The sequence below is a fragment of the Homo sapiens genome, chromosome 5 (genome assembly GCF_000001405.40).
Source record: "Homo sapiens chromosome 5, GRCh38.p14 Primary Assembly".
Taxonomy (NCBI): domain Eukaryota; kingdom Metazoa; phylum Chordata; class Mammalia; order Primates; family Hominidae; genus Homo; species Homo sapiens.
Window position 1 is genome coordinate 119,834,500 of NC_000005.10, and position 20,431 is coordinate 119,854,930.

Sequence of the window (20,431 nt, forward strand, 5' to 3'; positions counted from 1 at the left end):
TTATAGAGGATTTTTTTTTACAGTTTATTTGTTCCAATTGAGATCCAAATAAAGTTTGTAATTGTGATTGTCTAACACATCTTTGAATTCTCTGTTAGTCTAAAGATTAGTTTAGTTATTTCCCTAGTTCTAAAAATCCTGTCATTTTTTTCCTGCAGAGTTTTCTGCAGTCTAGATGTTGCTGTGTGTTCCCATGGCGTCTGTTAAACAGATTCCTCCATTTGTTTTATTTTCTGATTGGATCTAGATCCAACTGGTCTTTAGATCTAGACAATTGATCAGATTGCATTTTTTTCATAGAGTGGTATCATGTCCTTTCATCAGGAGACACATGCCTGCTTGTCTCTACCACTCTTCCTCTTGTCCTCTTTTTTAGTGCCTTGAACACCTTAGAGATATCTTCTGTTTCTGTTAATGGTGATGCATGAAGCTTTCAATAGGACCCTTATTGTACTGGCAGGGCCATCTTCTCATTTTCAGCAAAATTGAGTGTTCTCTCACTTTTTGTTTAAAATCAACTTTCTTGGGGTATAATTTACATAAATAAAAAACATCCATTTTAATTAAATAGTTTCATAAGTTTTGACAAATGTACATATTAATGTACCACCCACCCCCCCATTAAGGTATAGGACAATTCTGTTATCCCCAAATCCTTTGTCTCCTTCCTGAACAATTCCCTCTCCCTGTCTCCAAGCAACCAGTGATAAACTTTTTATCACAATAGATTAGAATTTCATATAGACAATCCAAAGTTTCATGAAAATGAAATTACACAGCATGTACTCTGGTGACTGACGTTTTGCTCAGAAAAATATATGTAAGTTTCATCCATATTGTTGTGTGTATAAGCAACTTGTTCCTTTTTATATCTGAATACAACTCTATTGTATGGATATGCCAATATTTGTGTATTCATTCACAAGTCAATTGACATTTAGATTGTTTTTGGGTTTTGGCTAAGATAAAGTTGCTATGAAAATTTCTGTAAAAGTCTTTGAATATTTGTATGTTTTCATCCTCTAGGGTAAAACCTAGAAGTGAAATGACTGGGTTACAGGATAGGCATATATATAGGTTTGTAAGAAAATGCCAATTTTCCAAAGTTACAATTGGAAATGTTATATATTCATCAGAATGTATGATAGTTTTATTACTTTACACTCTTGTCAACATTTGGTATTGTCAGCCTTTTTAATTTAGCCAATCAAATGGGTGTGTAGTGGTATCTTTTTTTTAATATTTATTTCTCTGATTACTAATGATATTGATCATTTTTTCGAGTGCGTATCTGTCAACTTTTTATTTTCTCTCTTATCTATCTATCTATCATCTATCTCTATCATGTGTCTAATCTATCTATCATCTATCCTATTTATCTATCTATCATCTATCTATCATCATCATCTATTTATTTGTATTGAGAAATAGAGACAGTCTGACCCATTTGTGTTTTTCCTTGATGTCCCAGATGATTCCCAAATGCTCTGCCCTCTGGAGGATTGGAATTTGAGTGTTTCTCTTTTGTTTGAGCTCTGGGAATTGTTCATCTTAAGACTCCTTGATTATTATTTTCCCTGCCTCTTTTACATGCACAGATTAGCACTCAGTTCATTTTTAAAGGAACTTGTGCAGTTTTTTTGATAACTTCCTCTTCCTCCTCCTTTTTCTTTTGTAGCTTCCTTCTCTGTTTCATAACTTCTAGCCGCCTGATTGTTCTGAAGCCCTAATCTCTGTCTTCTCACATTCTATAATTTTTTGTGCTCTGCGTGGAGTTCTCTACCCCAGCTTCATGATCCAGAATATTGGATGACATAGAAGCCAAAATGATTGTGAGGCTCACTCATTTGTTTTTTTTTTTATTCTCAGGATCATATGTTTGCACTATTTGTTGTGCAATGTCTGAAAACAATTGTCTGATATATTTTTTTCAATTTCTTATTTTGGTATGGGGCTAAATACGTTTGCTGTTACTCCAAATGGTCAATGGCAAAAATCCTATGACTTCTTTTTTATGTATTCTCGAACCCCTTACACTCAGCTGAACCCTCAAAGGTTGGCTTATCAAAATTCACTGACTTTAAATTTGTTGAATCCTTTAAATTTGTTCAATTTCCCTCTGCCTACAGTGGGTGTTCCTAATCTTTACTGTTCTCCCTATGCTCCATCTAATCTTTTCTAGATTTGTTTTTGCAGATTTCTAGAGTTTTTCTTCTCTGTAGAAATAGAAAGGATCAATCATAACCTCCCTCAATTTCACTCCAGCATCCCTCCAATGTCTGGTGAGGTATCCTGCTCCTTGCTTTAAAGTGCAGTGCCCAATCAATATTAATAAATTTCACTTTCATATAATTATATTTTCTTTACTCTTTCATTCTCCAAATTGACCTGTACATCAACATTTCTCTCCATCTATTGTTTTATCTTTATCTTGCCGCTTAAAATTAATGCATGATCTTCATTCTTAGATTTCTCTCTTGCTATGAGTTGTCAGTTTTCTTCTTTGAGTTAGCACATTTATGAAAAACCCTCAGTGTAACAGTTATTAAGGCTTGATCCAGTTGCCAAGTCTCTTTTCTTATACATTTTTATCACTTAATTTCTTTGAGTACTCCTACAAAAGGGGCTTCTCAGCCTCAGCCTTACTGTCATTTTGATCTAGCTTAGTTGAGGGGGAAGTTTTTCTGTGCATGGCAGGATGTTTAGCAGCATCTGTGACCTCCACCAAGATGCCAATAATGTCCATCCCTCCACCCAAGTTGTGACAAAATGTCTCCAGACATTGCCTGGGCAAAATCATCCCCAGTTAAGAACTCCTGACTTAGAACAATTTTCTCTGACCTAGAGATTTCCCTCAACTGTAAAATGAAGATAATGAAACCTATTTGCCAGGGCTATTTTGGGGACTCAACGATGATGTTCAGGAATTTTTAGCATAGCGCCTGTTCAAAAATTGTTTGCTATTATTACAATTATTATTAACTTTTCTGTGAATATACTGACTCCCCACTTGCCTTACTTCCTAAATCTAATGTATTATGTGTATGTCTATAGTGTGTCTTATTTATTTATTTATTTTTCCAAGATGGAGTCTTGCTCTGTTGCCCCGGCTAGAGTGCAGTGGTGCGATCTTGCCTCACTGCAACCTCTGCCTCCTGGGTTCAAGCAGTTCTCCTGCCTCAGCTTCCTGAGTAGTTGGGATTACAGGTGCCCACCACCATGTCTGGCTAATTTTTGTATTTTTAGTACAGATGGAGTTTCACCATATTGGCCAGACTAGTCTTGAACTCCTGACCTTGTGATCTGCCCACCTTGGCTTCCCAAAGTGCTGGGATTACAGGCGTGAGCCACTGTGCCTGGTCTCACTTATTTATTATAATATTAATTATCATTTTTTCTGTTTCCTCTTTTTTATTTTATGTTATTAGAAATTTTTATTTTTAATTTTTGTGGGTACATATTGGTGTATATATTTATGGGGTACATGAGATATTTTGATACAGGCATACAAGGCATAATAATCACATCAGTGTAAATGGGATGTTCATCATTTCAAGCATTTATTCTTTCTTTGTGTTACAAACAGACCAATTTTACTCTTTTAGTTATTTTAAAATGTACAATAATTATTATTGACTGTAGTCACTCTGTTGTGCTATCACATACTAGATTATATTCATTCTAACTACATTTTTGTTCCCATTAACCATCCTTACTCCCCCCCGATCGCCACCATCCTTCCCAGCTTCTGCTAACCATCATTCTACTCTATCTCCATAAGTTCAATTGTTTTAGTTTTTAGCTTCCACAAATAAGTGAGAACATGTGAAGTTTGTCTTTCTGTGCCTGGTTTATTTCACTTAAAATAGTAACATCGATGTTGTTGGAAAAATGAAAGGATCTTATTCTTTTTTATGGCTGAATAGTACTCCATTGTTTATATGTACCACATTTTCTTCATCTATTCATCTGTTGATGGACAATTAGGTTACATCCAAATATTGGCTACTGTGAATGGTGCTGCAGTGAGCCTCGGAGTGCAGCTATCTCTTTGATATACTGATTTCCTTTCTTTTGGGTATACACCTAGCAGTGGGACTGCTAGATCATATAGTAGTCTATTTTTACTTCTTTACTGTTCAGCCATAAAAAAGAATAAGATAAAATACAAAACATAAGACATTTTGAGAAACCTCCAAATTTTTCTCCATGGTGGTTGTACTAATTTACATTCCCACAAACAGCATACAAGGGTTTCCTTTTCTCCACATCCTCTCCAGCATTTGTTATTGCCTGTCTTTTAGATAAAAGCCATTTTTATTGGGGTGCAATGATTTCTCATTGTAGTTTTGATTTGCATTTCTCTGATGATCAGTGATGTTGAGCGTCTTTTGACATGCCTGTTTGCCATTTGTATGTCTTCTTTTGAGTATTCTTTATTCAGCTCTTTTGCCCATTTTAAAAATTGGATTAATTTTTTTCCTATATTGTTGTTCATTATTTCTTTTTTATTCTCATTTATTATGGCATATGCATCAAATTTTGCATTTCTTACACTGATAACTTCTCTTTTCCTAAAAAGGTATGGAAGGTATGATTTCATACCTTCCTTAGACAGTTGTCTTTTCTTCTTCTTTTTAGATTAACTTTTAAAACAGTGAACCTGCATTCATTGTTATAAATTCTATTTATATCCTAGTATCTGGCCTCTATCCCAGTCACCTTACTGAAATTGCTCACACAAAGATCAACCATATCTTTTTGTTTAACATTTTGTAGATAGAAATTAAGTATGCAGATAGTTTAGGCAGTTTTCTCAAGGCTTGTAAAGAAACAAAAAACGAAAACAAAAGTTGCCATCCCTTCACCCTTCATCTGGCTTCACCTATCTTTGCTGCCCAGAAATCAAGCATTCTGTATTCATTTAGATGATTATTCAAGTATTTATCTTCATATTTTTCAGTAACAGGCTGTGATGGCTAATTTTATGTGTCAAATCAACTAGGTCATGGGGTGCCTGAATATTTGGTTAAACATTAATTCTGGGTGGGCTTGTGAAAGTGTTTTGGGAAGAGATTAGCATTTCAGCCCATAGATGTAAAGCAGATTGCCCTCCCCAATGTGGGTGAGCATCATCCAATGCATTGAGGGTTTAAATAGACCAAAATGTGAAAGAAGGGGGAATTATCTCTCTCTCTCTGCCTAATGCTTGAGCTGGCACATTAGGCTTCTTCTGCCCTCAGACTGAGACTTAGAACGCCAGCTGTCTTGGGTCTCCAGCTCACAGACAGCAGGTTGTGGATCTTTTCAGCTTCCATAATCATGAGAGCCAATGCCTTATAAGAAATCTCTCTCTATATAAAATATAAAACATAGATAAACATACACAAAATTATAAACATATGTATATATACATATGTCTTATTGCTTCTGTTTCTGTGGAGAATCCTGACTACTACACATGCTTATACTGTACTGACAAAATTTCTTTTTTTTGGATTTAGATATTATCTATTGACTTCTTACCCTAGAAAATTGATGTTTACTTTTCTTATTCCCCCATGTGCTGGCATGTGAACACACTCCTTCTTTCTATCCATTCTTGTTACTTACATTATTATTTTTAATGTTTGCATTATGACCACCTAAGCTGAACTGACTAGAGTCTTTTATTGGAAGATTCTGAATTATCAATATTTCAATATTTTTACTTTTATATTGGTCTATTTCCTCCTGGGGGAACCCTCTAATTTCCTGGGAAGATATACACTTTGCTGTATTTCCTTTTTTTTTTGGCTGTATTTCCTCTTGGGGCTAAGTGAAGAAAAAAAGAACAAGTGTTTCATCATTCATTGCACAAGAGTTTCACCTTATCCTCTTATTTTCAGTATGATGCACTCATCATCAGCTGGGCCTGTTTGTTCTTGAGTCTACATCCCCTGTTTCACTTCTCCAAAGGAATAAACCATTCAGCTTCTATTGTATGGAGCAGGAGCAGTTGCCTTTCAGTGTGGAATAAGGGGTAGGAATCTGAGAATTGAAGTGATTCTTGTAATCTCCAGCACAAACTACACCACCAGTTTTTAGGAATAGTAGTTCTTTTGATTCCTGAGGTGTTCTGAGATTCTGTGTCATGAATACATTTGCTTCTTGGGTTTTCCTACTTCTAGCTTAGGCTTTGGCTTTACTTGTTTTGCTGATAGTTACTAATCAACTGTCTGCTTTCTAGGTAGGTTCTTAATTTTGTTGCTGTCACTTCCTTTCATGTTACCTTAATCCTAGCATATTTATCCATTTTATCTATCTATTTCTTTCTTTCTTTTTTTTTTTTTTTTTGAGATGGAGTCTTACTCTGTCACCTAGGCTGGAGTGCAGCGGCATGATCTTGGCTCACTGCAACCGCTGCTGCCTGGGTTCAAGCGATTCTCCTGCCTCAGCCTCCTGAGTAGCTGGGATTACAGGTGGCTGCCACTGCGCCTGGCTAATTTTTGTATTTTTAGTAGAGACAGGGTTTCACCATCTTGGTCAGGCTGGTCTTGAACTCCTGACCTCGTGATCCACGCACCTTGGCCTCCCAAAGTCCTGGGATTACAGGTGTGAGCCACTGCACCCTGCCTTATCTATCTATTTCTTAGTTTTCCCCCTAATCTTATTTTAGTGAAGGTTTGAAGAAGAGCAGTTGCAAACCAAAATGTTCAATCCACCACATTTAACCTGAAGTCCACAGTGATGGCCCCTTTTAATCTTCATTCCTCTTGACGTATTTATAGAATTGATTAGTATTAGCCCTTTTTTGGTAAACTTTCTATTCTCCTGGCTTCTTTGATATTACTTTTATGCAGCAACAAATATTTCTTAGAAAACTACTGTGTGCTAGGCATTCTATTATATGATGGGACGCAAAGATGAATAAAACATAGCCTTTGCAATGTGTGTGACTGATGTGAAAAGAGGTGTTATTGTGTTCAAAGTGTTATAACAGGATGAAAGTGATTTAATCAAGTTTGAGGAGTTGGAGATAAGTACAAATTCATCAGTTGAAATTATTGAGGAAAATAATCAATAATAACACAAATAACAATGGTTACAAGTATTTAAACTTATCATATGCCAGGAATTGGAGGGATCCAAAGCCTGGGTTTTAAACGACTGAACTATCCTGCCCTGTGTAGAGGGATAGTTTATTTAAAACAGTGACTCATGAAGGTGGTTGGCTGTCAGGACGGTGGTGAGCAGACAGTGGAGCCTCCATATTCATTGTTCCATTATCTATTGAGAAGGTAGTGTTTGTTAGGCATTGTTCTAGGTGCTAGGAAAACAACACTTTAATTTCACAGTCACTGGCCTCAAGTGGTTTAATCTGGGAAGGAGTATTGTAAGATTACCTGAAGAAGAAAGTGCTGCAGATGATGTGGACATGAACTAGAGCAGGTAAGGACTAGTGATAGAGGGATCAGGTAGGAGGGTCAATATAAATTTCTGTGGGAGATGCTGAAGGGTTAAATTGAGGCAATAAAAATGAATATGAAGAGAAGACATTAGATTCCAGAGACTCTTCTGAGATGTAAGTACAATAATTGATGGGGACTAAAATAAGTCAAGAAAAACTGAAATTTCCAGTGGGAGAATAGATTGATAGTGATACCATTTACAGCGGCAGAGAGGCAATTTCTGAGCAGCTATTAGAGAATATGTTATGTTTGGAATGCTCATGGATAACAAGGTATACTTGGGAACAGAAATCTGTAGCTCGAGAGGAGACCATCCAGAGAGAAGAAAAAGATCTGGGACTAAGCAGATAAGATGCAGAATTACTTAGAGACTGATGTAGGATTAGTCTAGCATGACAAATGAAAAGAAGACTTAGAATAAAGGAGTAGAGAATTAGGAGAATTAGGAATGTGAGGTACCCAGTGAGCTAAGAGAGAAAAGAATTTAGATAGAGTGGTTACTTTGTCACTTGGTTGAGGGCTGAAGATAACATTTTGATTTTTTTTTTTTTTTTTTTTTTTTTGGAGACGGAGTCTCTCTGTGTCACCCAGGCTGGAGTGCAGTGGCGCTGTCTCAGCTCACTGCCAGCTCCACCTCCTGAGTTCACGCCATTCTCCTGCCTCAGCCTCCCGAGTAGCTGGGACTATAGGCATCTGCCACCATGCCCGGCTAATTTTTTGTATTTTTTATTAGAGACGGGGTTTCACCGTGTTAGCCAGGATGGTCTCGATCTCCTAACCTCGTGATCTGCCTGCCTCGGCCTCCCAAAGTGCTGGGACTACAGGTGTGAGCCACCACACCCAGCCAACATTTTGATTTTTTGGTTAGGAGTCTTTGATGGTCTCAGCAACAGTAGTTTTAGAAATGGGTTTTGCCAGTGTTCAATCTGTAATATTAATTGTATATTCCACTAGTCTTCAAATGTTCTCTAAAACAATTATATGACAATATCTTCACATTCTTGCAACATCTTGGCAGTATAATTGATCTGTGTTAGGGACTTGAACTATATACTCTTTTAATGAAGACAACAAGTGATCATGTTTGTACACAGTTTTCAATTTCACAGCACTGAGTTTCTGGAAGATATAAGTTATGTATATCATGTAGTCACAATGAACTGGGTAAATAAACAAGGCAAAGTGGTAACAATGCAAGCTCTTTATGATACCTTCCAGAAAAGCAAGCACTGACAGTAGGACAGCAAGGTATTTAGACTGGAAAGTTTATTTGCATTAGGTGTGAGCTCTAAAGGAATGGTGGGCAGGTACCATGCCCAAGAAGAACTCAAGCTCAAAGCAATTTACTTTGATCAATAACTCATATCTTCATTTATCTGATCTCAGATCTCAGTCATCCTCTGCACAAACCACTCCCCGTTCATCCGTCCTTCTTGTAGTGATAAGAATGTCAGCACTATATAGTTTTCTTATTATCAGGACTTAGTCTTCAATTATGATTGAGGCATTTTTGTTGATTAATTTATGCTATTCTTATTTGTTTTTATTTTTGTTAGCATAACACACCATATATTTCCAAATATATATTCAAAGTCCCTTTTCCAATGAAAGACATATCCTTCTGAGTTGGTCTAATAACCTCTTCTACTAAATTTAATAGATCTTCTTTTGGTCATTAATGATTCATACTCAACACTTCTTGCATTCACATACTGAATCGCACATCCTGGCCTTTGAGCTTCAATTACTTCAGTGTCTTGTTTGTTCTTCCATTTGCAGTTTTGAAGACTGATTCTTTGATAGAGAGGACAAAAGAAAAATAGGACTTGAGAAGTTCTGTGATTTTTATTGCCATCTGTTAACATTATGCCATCTGCTTTAAATACTGATTTAACCCTCTTTTTCTGTGCTTTTAAAATGAATCTGTTTCTTTTTCTCCCTTGTGTTGTTTGTGATTGTGTTGTCAGAATCTTCCTCCTGCCAGCCTCCCTCCCTCCCTCTCTTCCTCTCTCTTTCTTTTTCTCCTTCCCTCACTCCTTTCCTCCTTTCATTCCTTCCTCCTTCCCTTCCTGAGAAGCTCATTTTCTTGGACTACTGTCTAGTATCTTAGACCAAGTGATTATACCTATTTTTCATATAAAATGCTTGAAGGTATTTATTTAAAGTCTAGGATACCTGATTGTTATGCTCAGGGTTCTTTTCCTAAACTCCATGTATGCATGCATATGTGTGTGCTTGCTGGTATGGTGAGGTGGGACGGAGAAGGACTGGGCTGGCAGGAAGGCAGAAACCTGATCATCTCTGATTTGTGTTCTAAGTTACATAGCCTTGACTCATGACACCACCATCAGCCTAATGTCTCCAAACAAGAAATTCTCATGCCATCCTAGGCTCTTCCTATTTCTTATTTCTTGCATTCAATTAGTTCCATGTGCCTATTGATTCTACCCAGGGATAGCGTTTCAAATAGACTGCTACCTTTTACTTCACTGCCACCTCACTCCCTTAGTTTTAGGCTCTTCTAACCTGATCAGTTTCACAGCTTCAGGCTGTACAGTCCCCATTTCTCCATCTTCCTTCTCATGCTCTCTAGTCACCTGCCTCATCCCATATTCTCATTAACCTCATGATGACTCGTCATCACTGTTGGAAACTTCGACATCCACCTAGAGGATCTAGCCAGCACAAGGTCTCTCATTTCATTAAACTCCTAAATTTTAATTTTTGTTTTCTGCATCTTCTTAAACCAACCACTGCCATAATAATCACCAATAACTATCCTGCCTCTATATTTTTGATTTCAAACATTTCATTCTCTTATTATCCCTTCTTAGCTTTTCATCTTTCTTGGTCTAATATTCTCATTTGAATAATTCCCCAAACTTTATGAAGACTTCCATCTATTGACCTTACCTTTTCTTCACTAGACTTAATTTTTCAACTTTTATTTTTATTTCTGTATTATTATGTTCAGAGATAATTTTTCTAGTTTTATAATTGGAGACAGTAGACAATTTATTTCTTTAGAGTGTGTCTTTACCTACAATCTCAGACTCCCAGATTGCAAAGTTTGGGCAAGTTTTAATATTGCTGTTCCTTTTTGTGAGTCCTGGTGGAGCTGAAAAAAAAATGATTTTAAGTCAAGAAAAGAATCTAAATATTACAATTCACTACACCAGCAGGCAAGACTTGGGCCATACTGACTGAAAGAGGCTGAATGGTTATTCTAAAAACGTTTAGGAAGCAGGTGCAATAACAGCAACATGGACCGAGTGTATATGTTTTAGCCTTAAGCTAGATGGTCATTCATACAGACCTCCCTTTCATGAGGTCAGCTGATTTCTGTGTCTTCCTGTTTCAGACAAGTAAGGGTTGTGACTCCCTTGGCAAAATTAATCCACCAAACCTTTTTCAGATATAGTTAAATTTCAGTTATATGCTTAAACTTCAAATGTATTAGTGGCTTCTAACTTCAAACAACTTTAGTACTATAGATGTTTATCTGCTAGCTTTATTAACCAAAGTCTACAAGCTTTAACTACATTAATAGATAATCTGGTGATCAAAGAAAGTTTCCCTGCATTATAGTATTTGCTTGAGGGGCCACTTACCAAGATGGGTCATCATCTTACTTGACTTGCAAGCATCATTTGACAGAAGTGACCCCTCTCTCCTTCTCAGAACACTTGCTTTTTTGTGCTTCTGTAATATTACACTCACTGCATTCCTTGATACCTCACCAGTCACTTCTTTTAGTCATATTTTCTAACTTACCCTTCTCCACCATATACTGAAGCACCCCTTGACTGTCTTTGTCTTTTTTTCTGCTACCTAATGGGTTCACTAAATGATAACTTCCATAGCCATGACTTTAAATATTATCTATAGGTTGAGGTTCATCCAATTTATATGGTCAATCTTTACCTCTCCCCTGAATCCTAGACTTTTACATCTACTGCCTTATTGGCATCTCTGTTTCAATTTCTGATAGACAATTCAAACCCAGCATGGCCAACTTAGAATGTAGATCTACCTCCCACCCTATTTTTTCCCTTCAAATTTCCCTCATCGCAGAATAGCAGTACTGTTCACCCAGTAGTCTAGGCCAAAATTTTAGGAAACATCCTTGATTTATCTTCTTTCCTCATATCCCCAAACTCGTTCATAAATAAGTCTTGTTGGTTTGAATTATGGAAAACAGCATGGAGATTCCTTAAAGAATGAAAAGTAGAACTACTATTTGATCCAGCAATCTCACTACTGGGTATCTATCCAGGGGAAAAGAAGTCATTATATGAAAATGATACTTGCCCACACATGTTTATAGCAGCACAGTTTTTGCAAAATCATGGAACCAACCCAAATGCCCATCAATCAACGAGTGGGTAAAGAAACTGTGATATATATATATAATCTCCACACACAATGGAATACCACTCAGCCATAAAAAGGAATAAATTAATGGCATTCAAAGCAACCTGGATGGGATTGGAGACTATTATTCTAAGTGAAGTAATTATATGTTCTCACTCATAAGTGGGAGCTAAGCTATGAGGATGCAAAGGCAGAAGAATAATACAATAGACTTTGGGGCCTGTCGGGGGAAAGGGTGGGAAGGGGGTGAGAGAAGGCTACAAATTTGGTTTAGTGTATACTGCTTGGGTGATAGGCGCACCAAACTCTCACAAATCACCGCTAAAGAACTTACTCATGTAACCAAATGCCACCTGTTCCCCAAAACCTATGGAAATAAAATAAATATTATCTTGAAACTGAATACTTCTTATTACCTTCACCCAAAATATCCTAATTGTAAACCTCTATCATTTCTCAGCTATAATATTTTAATACCCATCTAATTAATCTCTTTGCTTTACTTTTGCCTCTCCAAAAATATCATAAGACATATCATGGCACAAATATTCTTTCCATGTATAAGTTGGATTATGGCATTCTTTCTGTTTGAAAATCCTCCAGTGGCTTCCATTGCAACCTGAATAAAATGCAAATAAACTTCTTACCCTGATCTGTATTTTCTGGCCTTCTGACTACCTTTATGACTTAATTAATCTGCATTCTTCTTATTCAGTACACTCTGGCCACAATGCCTAGAAAAGTGCCAAGTTTATCTTTTTTTTTCTTTTTCTTTTTTAACCCTAACCCTAACAAGTATTTTCTTGGCTTGGAAATAGTTTATTTTTTTTTCTTGAGTGTCTCTATTTCACAACTTAGATATTATTTCACAGATCATGTCCTCCAAGAGAACATCCCTGACTACTGTAATTATAGCAGGCCTCATCATTTTCTTATGGTTATAGGACTGAGGTTTCCATTTTCCTACTAGCTATTGGCTAGTAACTGCATTCAACTCCTAGCTGTTGACATATCTCCTATAGTTTACAATATGGATGTTTGCTTTCTTCCAGACTAGTCATATTGTGCCTGCCTCTATGCCTTTCTCTTCTGTGACAAGCTAAAGAAAACTTTTTTTTTATTATACTTTAAGTTTTAGGGTACATATGCACAACGTGCAGGTTAGTTACATATGTATACATGTGCCATGTTGGTGTGCTGCACCCAGTAACTCGTCATTTAACATTAGGTATATCTCCAAATGCTATCCCTCTCCCCTCCCCTCACCCCACAACAGGCCCCGGTGTGTGATGTTCCCCTTCCTGTGTCCATGTGTTCTCATTGTTCAATTCCCACCTATGAGTGAGAACATGTGGTGTTTGGATTTTTGTCCTTGAGATAGTTTGCTGAGAATGATGGTTTCCAGCTTCATCCATGTCTCTACAAAGGACATGAACTCATCATTTTTTATGGCTGCATAGTATTCCATGGTGTATATGTGCCACATTTTCTTAATCCAGTCTATCATTGTTGGACATTTGGCTTGGTTCCAAGTCTTTGCTATCGTGAATAGTGCCGCAATAAACATACATGTGCATGTGTCTTTATAGCAGCATGATTTATAATCCTTTGGGTATATACCCAGTAATGGGATGGCTGGGTCAAATGGTATTTCTAGTTCTAGATCCCTGAGGAATCGCCACACTGTCTTCCACAATGGTTGAACTAGTTTACAGTCCCACCAACAGTGTAAAAGTGTTCCTATTTCTCCACATCCTCTCCAGCACCTGTTGTTTCCTGACATTTTAATGATTGCCATTCTAACTGGTGTGAGATGGTATCTCATTGTGGTTTTGATTTGCATTTCTCTGATGGCCAGTGATGATGAGTATTGAAAACTTTGGTTTTAAATAACTTACCAAATTACTTTTGGTCCATTCAGGATAAACACCATTTTGTCATATCATGTGATATAATCACATGAATGATATTTCATCATATGCACAGGTTCAACTCATGCTCAAGGGCATTATATACAGCATTTACACCAGGGAAAGAAATTTTGGAGATCATATTAGGATTTTGTCTGCCATAGTTCTGTATTAAAGGAAATGAATTCAGTGTTAATAAACTTCCAGCAACGAAAACTTCAGGCCTAGTTTATTTCACTGGAAAATTCAACCAAACATTTAATGAAGAATGAATTCAAATCCTACATAAACTTCACCAGTAGAAGAAGATGAAAGTTGTTTACCAACTTATTTTATGAGTACAGCATTACCTTGATACTAAAACCAAAGATATTACAAGAAAATTACAGACCAGTATCCTCATAACCATATTTTCAAAAATCCTTAAGAAATATTATCAAATTAAACCCAACTATATATTAAAATGATAATACATCATGATCAAATGGGATTTATTGCAGGAATTTGTCTTGTTTAACTTAAATCAAAACATATTTTCAAAAATCCTTAAGAAATATTATCAAATTAAACCCAGCTACATATCAAAATGATAATACATCATGATCAAGTGGGATTTATTGCAGGAATTTAGTCTTGTTTAACTTAAATCAATCTATAAAATTTACCATATCAATAGATGAAAGGTCACATAATCATCTCAATAGATACAGAAAAGTATTTGAAAAAAATCAGCATCCACTCACACTGACAGAGACAAAACAGCACAAAACTCTTAATGTACTAGGAAGTAATGGGAACTTCTTTAAACCAACAAAGGGAGTCTACAAAAAAACCTACTGCCAGTATCATACTTTATGGTAAAGGGCTGATTGCATTCTCTTTGGGATCATGTAGATCTTAGTGCACTAAGGCAAGAAAAAGAAGTAAAAGGCATACATATTAGAAAGAAAAATACAAAAACATCTCATTTGGAGATGACATTATTATCTACTTGGAAAATACCAAAAAATTCACAAAAAACTAATAAAAATTCAATAGTTAATCAAGTTTATATAATACAAGATTAATAAAGATAAATTATATATATATATATATATATATATATATATTTTTTTTTTTTTTTTTTTTTTTTTTTTTTTTTGAGATGGAGTCTCACTCTGTCACCCAGGCTGGAGTGCAGTGGTGAGATCTCGGCTCACTGCAAGCTCCGCCTCCCAGGTTCACGTCATTCTCCTGCCTCAGCCTCCCGAGTAGTTGGGACTACAAGTGCCCGCCACCAGGCCCGGCTAATTTTTTGTATTTTCAGTACAGACGGGGTTTCACGGTGTTAGCCAGGATGGCCTTGATCTCCTGACCTAGTGATCCACCCGCCTTGCCCTCCCAGAGTGCTGGGATTACAGGCGTGAGCCACCATGCCCGGCTGATAAATTATATTTTTATATATTGGGAATGAAAGTTTGGAAATTTAAATGTAACTATAATAGGTTCAGAAGGATTAAAAACATGAAAATCAGGAATAACTCTCACAAAATATTTAAAATATTTGTATTCTGAAATGACAAAATATTGATTCCAATTATAGAAATCAAAGGAGAATTATATAGATACACCATGGTCATGGATTAGAAGACTCTATGTTGGAATAAATGTCAATTTTCCCCAAATCTATAGATTCCATGGTATTCTAATTAAAATTCCAGTAAAATTTTGTTTATTGGTTAGGGAATGACCAGCTCATTGTAAGATTCATATAGAAAGGAAAGAACTTAGAATGGCCAAAGAATTTTGAAAAATAGCAAAGTTGGGGGACTCATCATTACCTATTTCAATTCTTATCTTAAAGGCATAATAATGAAGTCAATGTCATATTGCTTGAAAGACAGACACAACAGATCAATAAATCAGAGTAGAGAATAATAGAAATAGACAAATTCAGGCCGGGCGTGGTGGTTTACGCCTGTAACCTCAGCACTTTGGGAGGCTGAGGTGGACGGATCACAAGGTCAGGAGAAAGAGACCATCCTGACTAACACGGTGAAACCTTGTCTCTACTAAAAAAATACAAAAAATTAGCCAGGCGTGGTGGCGCGCGCCTGTAGTCCCAGCTACTCCGGAGGCTGAGGCGACAGAATTGCTAGAACCCGGGAGGCAGAGGTTGCAGTGAGCCGAGATTGCGCCACTGCACTCCAGCTTGGGTGACAGAGCGAGACTCCGTCTCAAAAAAAAAAAAAAAAAGAAAAAGAAAAGAAATAGACACATTCAGTTATGGTTAATTTTTCATAAAGATGCCAAAGTAATTCAATGGAGGGTAGTGACAGCCTTTTAACATATAATGCTCAACTAATTAGACATCCATATGCAAAGGAATAAACCCTAAAATTACCTCACTCCATATACAATATTATCTCAAAATGTGTAATACACTCGTATGTAAGAGCTAAAGCTATGAAACTTCTCGAAAAAATGTACAATAAAGTCTTAAGGTATTCAATGAGATAAAGTTTTTAAAAGCAGGACTCAAAAAAAAATCGTAAACTATAAAAGGAAATATTGATAAACTTATGTTAATTAAAATAACACCCCTCATTTGCCCTCTGTGTTATCAAATGTTACAAAAATGAAAAGTTAAGACACAGACTTGAATATTTGCACAACATATAACTGACAAAATCAGTAATGTAAAAAACTCTCACAGCTCAAAATAAGAGCAAAAAACTCAATTAAAATGAGTAAATGATTTGAATAGACACTTGACCAAAGAAGAAATATAATTGAGAAACAAGTGCATGAAAATATTTTCAAAATCATCATTCAGTGTAATTTCAACTTATTCAACATTGTTTGGTCATAGGGAAATGCAAACTAAAACAAAGAGAACTCATTGTTACATACTTATTAGAATAACTAAAAGAAAAATACCTGATTAGTATGCAGGACAACTAGAATGGTCATTTCTTAGTGGTGTGAATGTGCAATAGTACAACCACTTTGGAAAATAATTTGGCAGTTTTTATGAAGTTAAAGAAATACTCATACCATATGACCCATCAATCTCATTCCCAGGTATTTTGCGTGATAGAAATGAAGGCCTCCGTAGAGACCTTTTCAAAATCTTCTGTACAAATATTTATTTTGTCTTCATTTACAATTGCCCAACCTGGAAACAACCCAAATATCCTTAAACTGATGCATATGTAAATAAAATTAATGTATAATGGTACAATGGAATATAGTAGCAATAAAAGAAGAAAACTACTGATACATGAAACAATTTTGATGAATCTTGAACGTATTATGCTAAATAAAAAGCTGCACTTGGAAGGCTATGTAGTGTATGATTCCATTTATATAACATTCTGGAAAAGTCAAATCGTAGATAGTAAACAAATCCACAGTTGTCAGAGTGACATTTTCATCTGGTGTATTTATTACCTCAAACATTGTAGTTGTAGTTTTCATCTCTGTTGGTTTCATTTGGGTCTTCTGTGTATCTCATGTTTGTACCTTTTGAATATATAGAATGAAATTATAATAAATGTTTTAATGTTCTTGTCTTTTATTTCCAATGTATGTGTCAGTTCTGGGTCAATTTTGATTGATTTTTTTCCTTTTCATTAAAATCATAACTTCCTTTTTCCTTTTCATGCCTAGTACTTTTAAAATAAAATTTAGCTATTGTGACTTGCATCATTTCAGGTTTATATTTTAAGCTTTGTTAGGTTGGAAGCTTTGTTAGATAGCAGAGTAAAATTTATTCTGGGGCTAATTATTCTCCATTATGGAGGCAAGTATACTCTACCCACTGCCCTGTGAATCTTGGGGCTTTTTATTTTGGCTGATATGGAGGCACACTCTCCATAGTCTTGTGTAAATCCTGAACAGTGAGCTTCTAATCCTTCTAGGTGACACTTTCCTCAGTCTTCATAGTTTCTTAACACATAAACTGATTAGTGGGGACCCTTTGGAGGTGTCTCGTGTTCTCTCACTGTACAGCTACGTTTTCTATCTCATGAACTCTAGCTGCCCCAGCATTCCTGAACCCAACATCTGTCTCCTTGACTTAGGGACTATACTGGCCCTTTTATTGATTTACTGTGCCTGTGTTTTGGCCTGGAAACTCTCAGGTCAGTAAACAGACAATCTCAAAGTTCACCTCACTTGTTTGCTGTATCTCAGGGATTGCCACCCCTTTATGCTTGCTGTCCATTGTCTTAAAAACATTGTTTTATATATGTTTTACATATTTTTTTCCAGTTTCTTTGATTAAGCCAGAAAAAGAAATCTGTTCCCTGTTACTCCATCTTGGCCAGAAATAGAAGTCTACAGGATATGTTTTTCATACTATTACGCTTCCTTCCTCTGTCTCATCATTGAATGAAGTGAGTTTCAATACACAAGCACTTTTCAGGAAACTCCTTGAGAGGAGAAGATGAAGTTCAAGATAGCCTTCCAGTTTTACTGCTATTTTCAATTTAGAAAATCTTTCTTCTCTGCTGCTAAATAGTGGACTGCTGCATCTAATTGTAGCTGTTTCTTTTTTTACAATGTATTTTTTTATATATATATAATTGACAAAAAGTGTACGTACTTTTGTGTATAACATGATGTTTTGAAATATGTATACATTGTGTAATGACTAAATCAAGCTAAAAACACTTAAAATCCACTTTTAGAAATTTTCAAGAATACGATACATTGTTACTAACTATAGTCACTATGCTGTAAATGGAGCTCTTGAACTTATTTCTCCTACTGAACTAAAATTTCATAATATTTGACAATCTCCTCCATCCCATAACCCCTGATAACCAGCATTCCACTTTCTACTTCTATGCATTCAACTTTTTTTAGAGTTCACATAAAAGTGAGATCATGTAGTATTTGTCTTTCTGTGCCTGGCTTATTTTATTTAACATATTGTCCTCCAGGTTTATCCCTACTGTTGCAAATTACAGAATTTCCTTCTTTTTAAAGATTGAATAGTATTACAACCTTTAAAAAGAAGGAATGTGGCCGGGCATGATGGCTCACACCTGTAATCCCAGTGCTTTGGGAGGCTGAGGCGGGCAGATCACGAGGTCAAGAGATCGAGACCATTCTGGTCAACATGGTGAAACCCCGTCTCTGCTAAAAATGCAAAAAAATTAGCTGTGTGTGGTGGTGTGTGCCTGTAGTCCCAGCTACTCAGGAGGCTGAGACAGGAGGATCGCTTGAACCTGGGAGGCAGAGGTTGCAGTGAGCTGAGATGGCACCACTGCACTCCAGCCTGGCGATAGATCAAGACTCCATCTCAAAAAACAAAAGCAACAACAGCAAAAAGAAGGAATGTGTGTATATATGCCACATTTTAAAAATCTATTCATCTATTGATGAACACTTAGGTTGTTTCCACAATTTGGGTATCTATTGTGAATAATGCTGCAATGAACATGCGAGGGAAGACATCTCTTTGACATACTGATTTCATTTCCTTTGTATGTAACTTAGTAATGGGATTATTGGAACATATGATACTTCTATTATAAAGTTTTTGAGGAACTGCCATACTATTTTCCATAAGGGCTGCACCAATTTACATTCCCACCAATAGTGTGCAAAGGTTTCCTTTTCTAAACATCCTGGCTGTCACTTGTTATTTTTTATCTCCTTATTACCAGTCATTCTAACAGATGTGTGGTAATACTTCACCGTGTAGTTTTAATGTGCATTTGTCTGAGGATTACTGGTGTTGAACATTTTTTCATATACTCATTGACCATTTATATGTCTTATCCCTTGCCCATTTTTAATAGGGTTGTTTTCTTACTATTGAGTTGAGTTCCCAATTTATTTTGAATATTAACCCCTTTTTAGATATGTGATTTGAAAATATTTTCTCCAATTTCATAGCTTGTTTCTTCACTCTGTTTCCTGCTTCCTTGGCTGTGCAGAAACTTTCATTTGATGTAATCCTATTTGTCTGTTTTCACTTTTATTGCCTTGAATTTGGGGTCATACCCAAAAAGTCATTGCTCAAACAAATGCTATGTAGTTTTTCTACTGTTTTCTTCTAGTAGTTTTAGAGTTTCAGGTCTGACTTTTAAGTCTTTAATTCATTTTGAGGCTTTTTTTATATATGGTGTGAGATAAGGGCCTAATTTTATACTTCTGTATATGGATATTCAGTTGTCCTAACAGCATTTATTGAAGAAACTATCCTTTCCCCATTGCTTGTTCTTGTCATCTTTGTCATAAAATCAATTGAACATAAATGTGTGGATTTATTTCTGGGTTCTCTATTCTGTTCCGTTGGTCCATGAATCTGTTTAATTAACATAGCTTTGTAGTAGAATTTTTTTTTGAGACAGAATCTTGCTTTGTTGCCCAGGTTGGAGTGCAGTGGTATGATCTCAGCTTACTGCAACCTCCGCCTCCCAGGTTCAAGTGATTCTCCTGCCTCAGCCTCCTGAGTAGCTGAGATTACAGGCATGTGCCAGCCTGCCTGGCTTATTTTTGTATCTTTAGTAGAGGCGGGGTTTCACCATATTGGTCAGGCTGGTCTTGAACTCCTGACTTCATGATCCGCCCACCTCAGCCTCCCAAAGTGATGGGATTACAGGCATCAGCCACCATGCCCAGCCTGTAGTAGAATTTTAAGTCAGGTAGTGTGTTGTCTCTAGCTTTGTTCTTTTTACTTAATATTGTTTTGGACAATTT

At 36.2% G+C, this 20,431-nt stretch overlaps 1 long non-coding RNA gene across 1 annotated transcript in view; it reads left to right on the forward strand.

Annotated features, from left to right (window-relative positions):
• The first annotated feature begins 761 nt into the window (after positions 1-761).
• Positions 762-20,431, forward strand: part of LOC105379144 (uncharacterized) — a 142,695-nt gene continuing 123,025 nt past the window's right edge. The window contains exon 1 of the long non-coding RNA XR_948706.2: positions 762-820. This is a non-coding gene — a long non-coding RNA (uncharacterized LOC105379144). The remainder of the gene's footprint in view (positions 821-20,431) is intronic.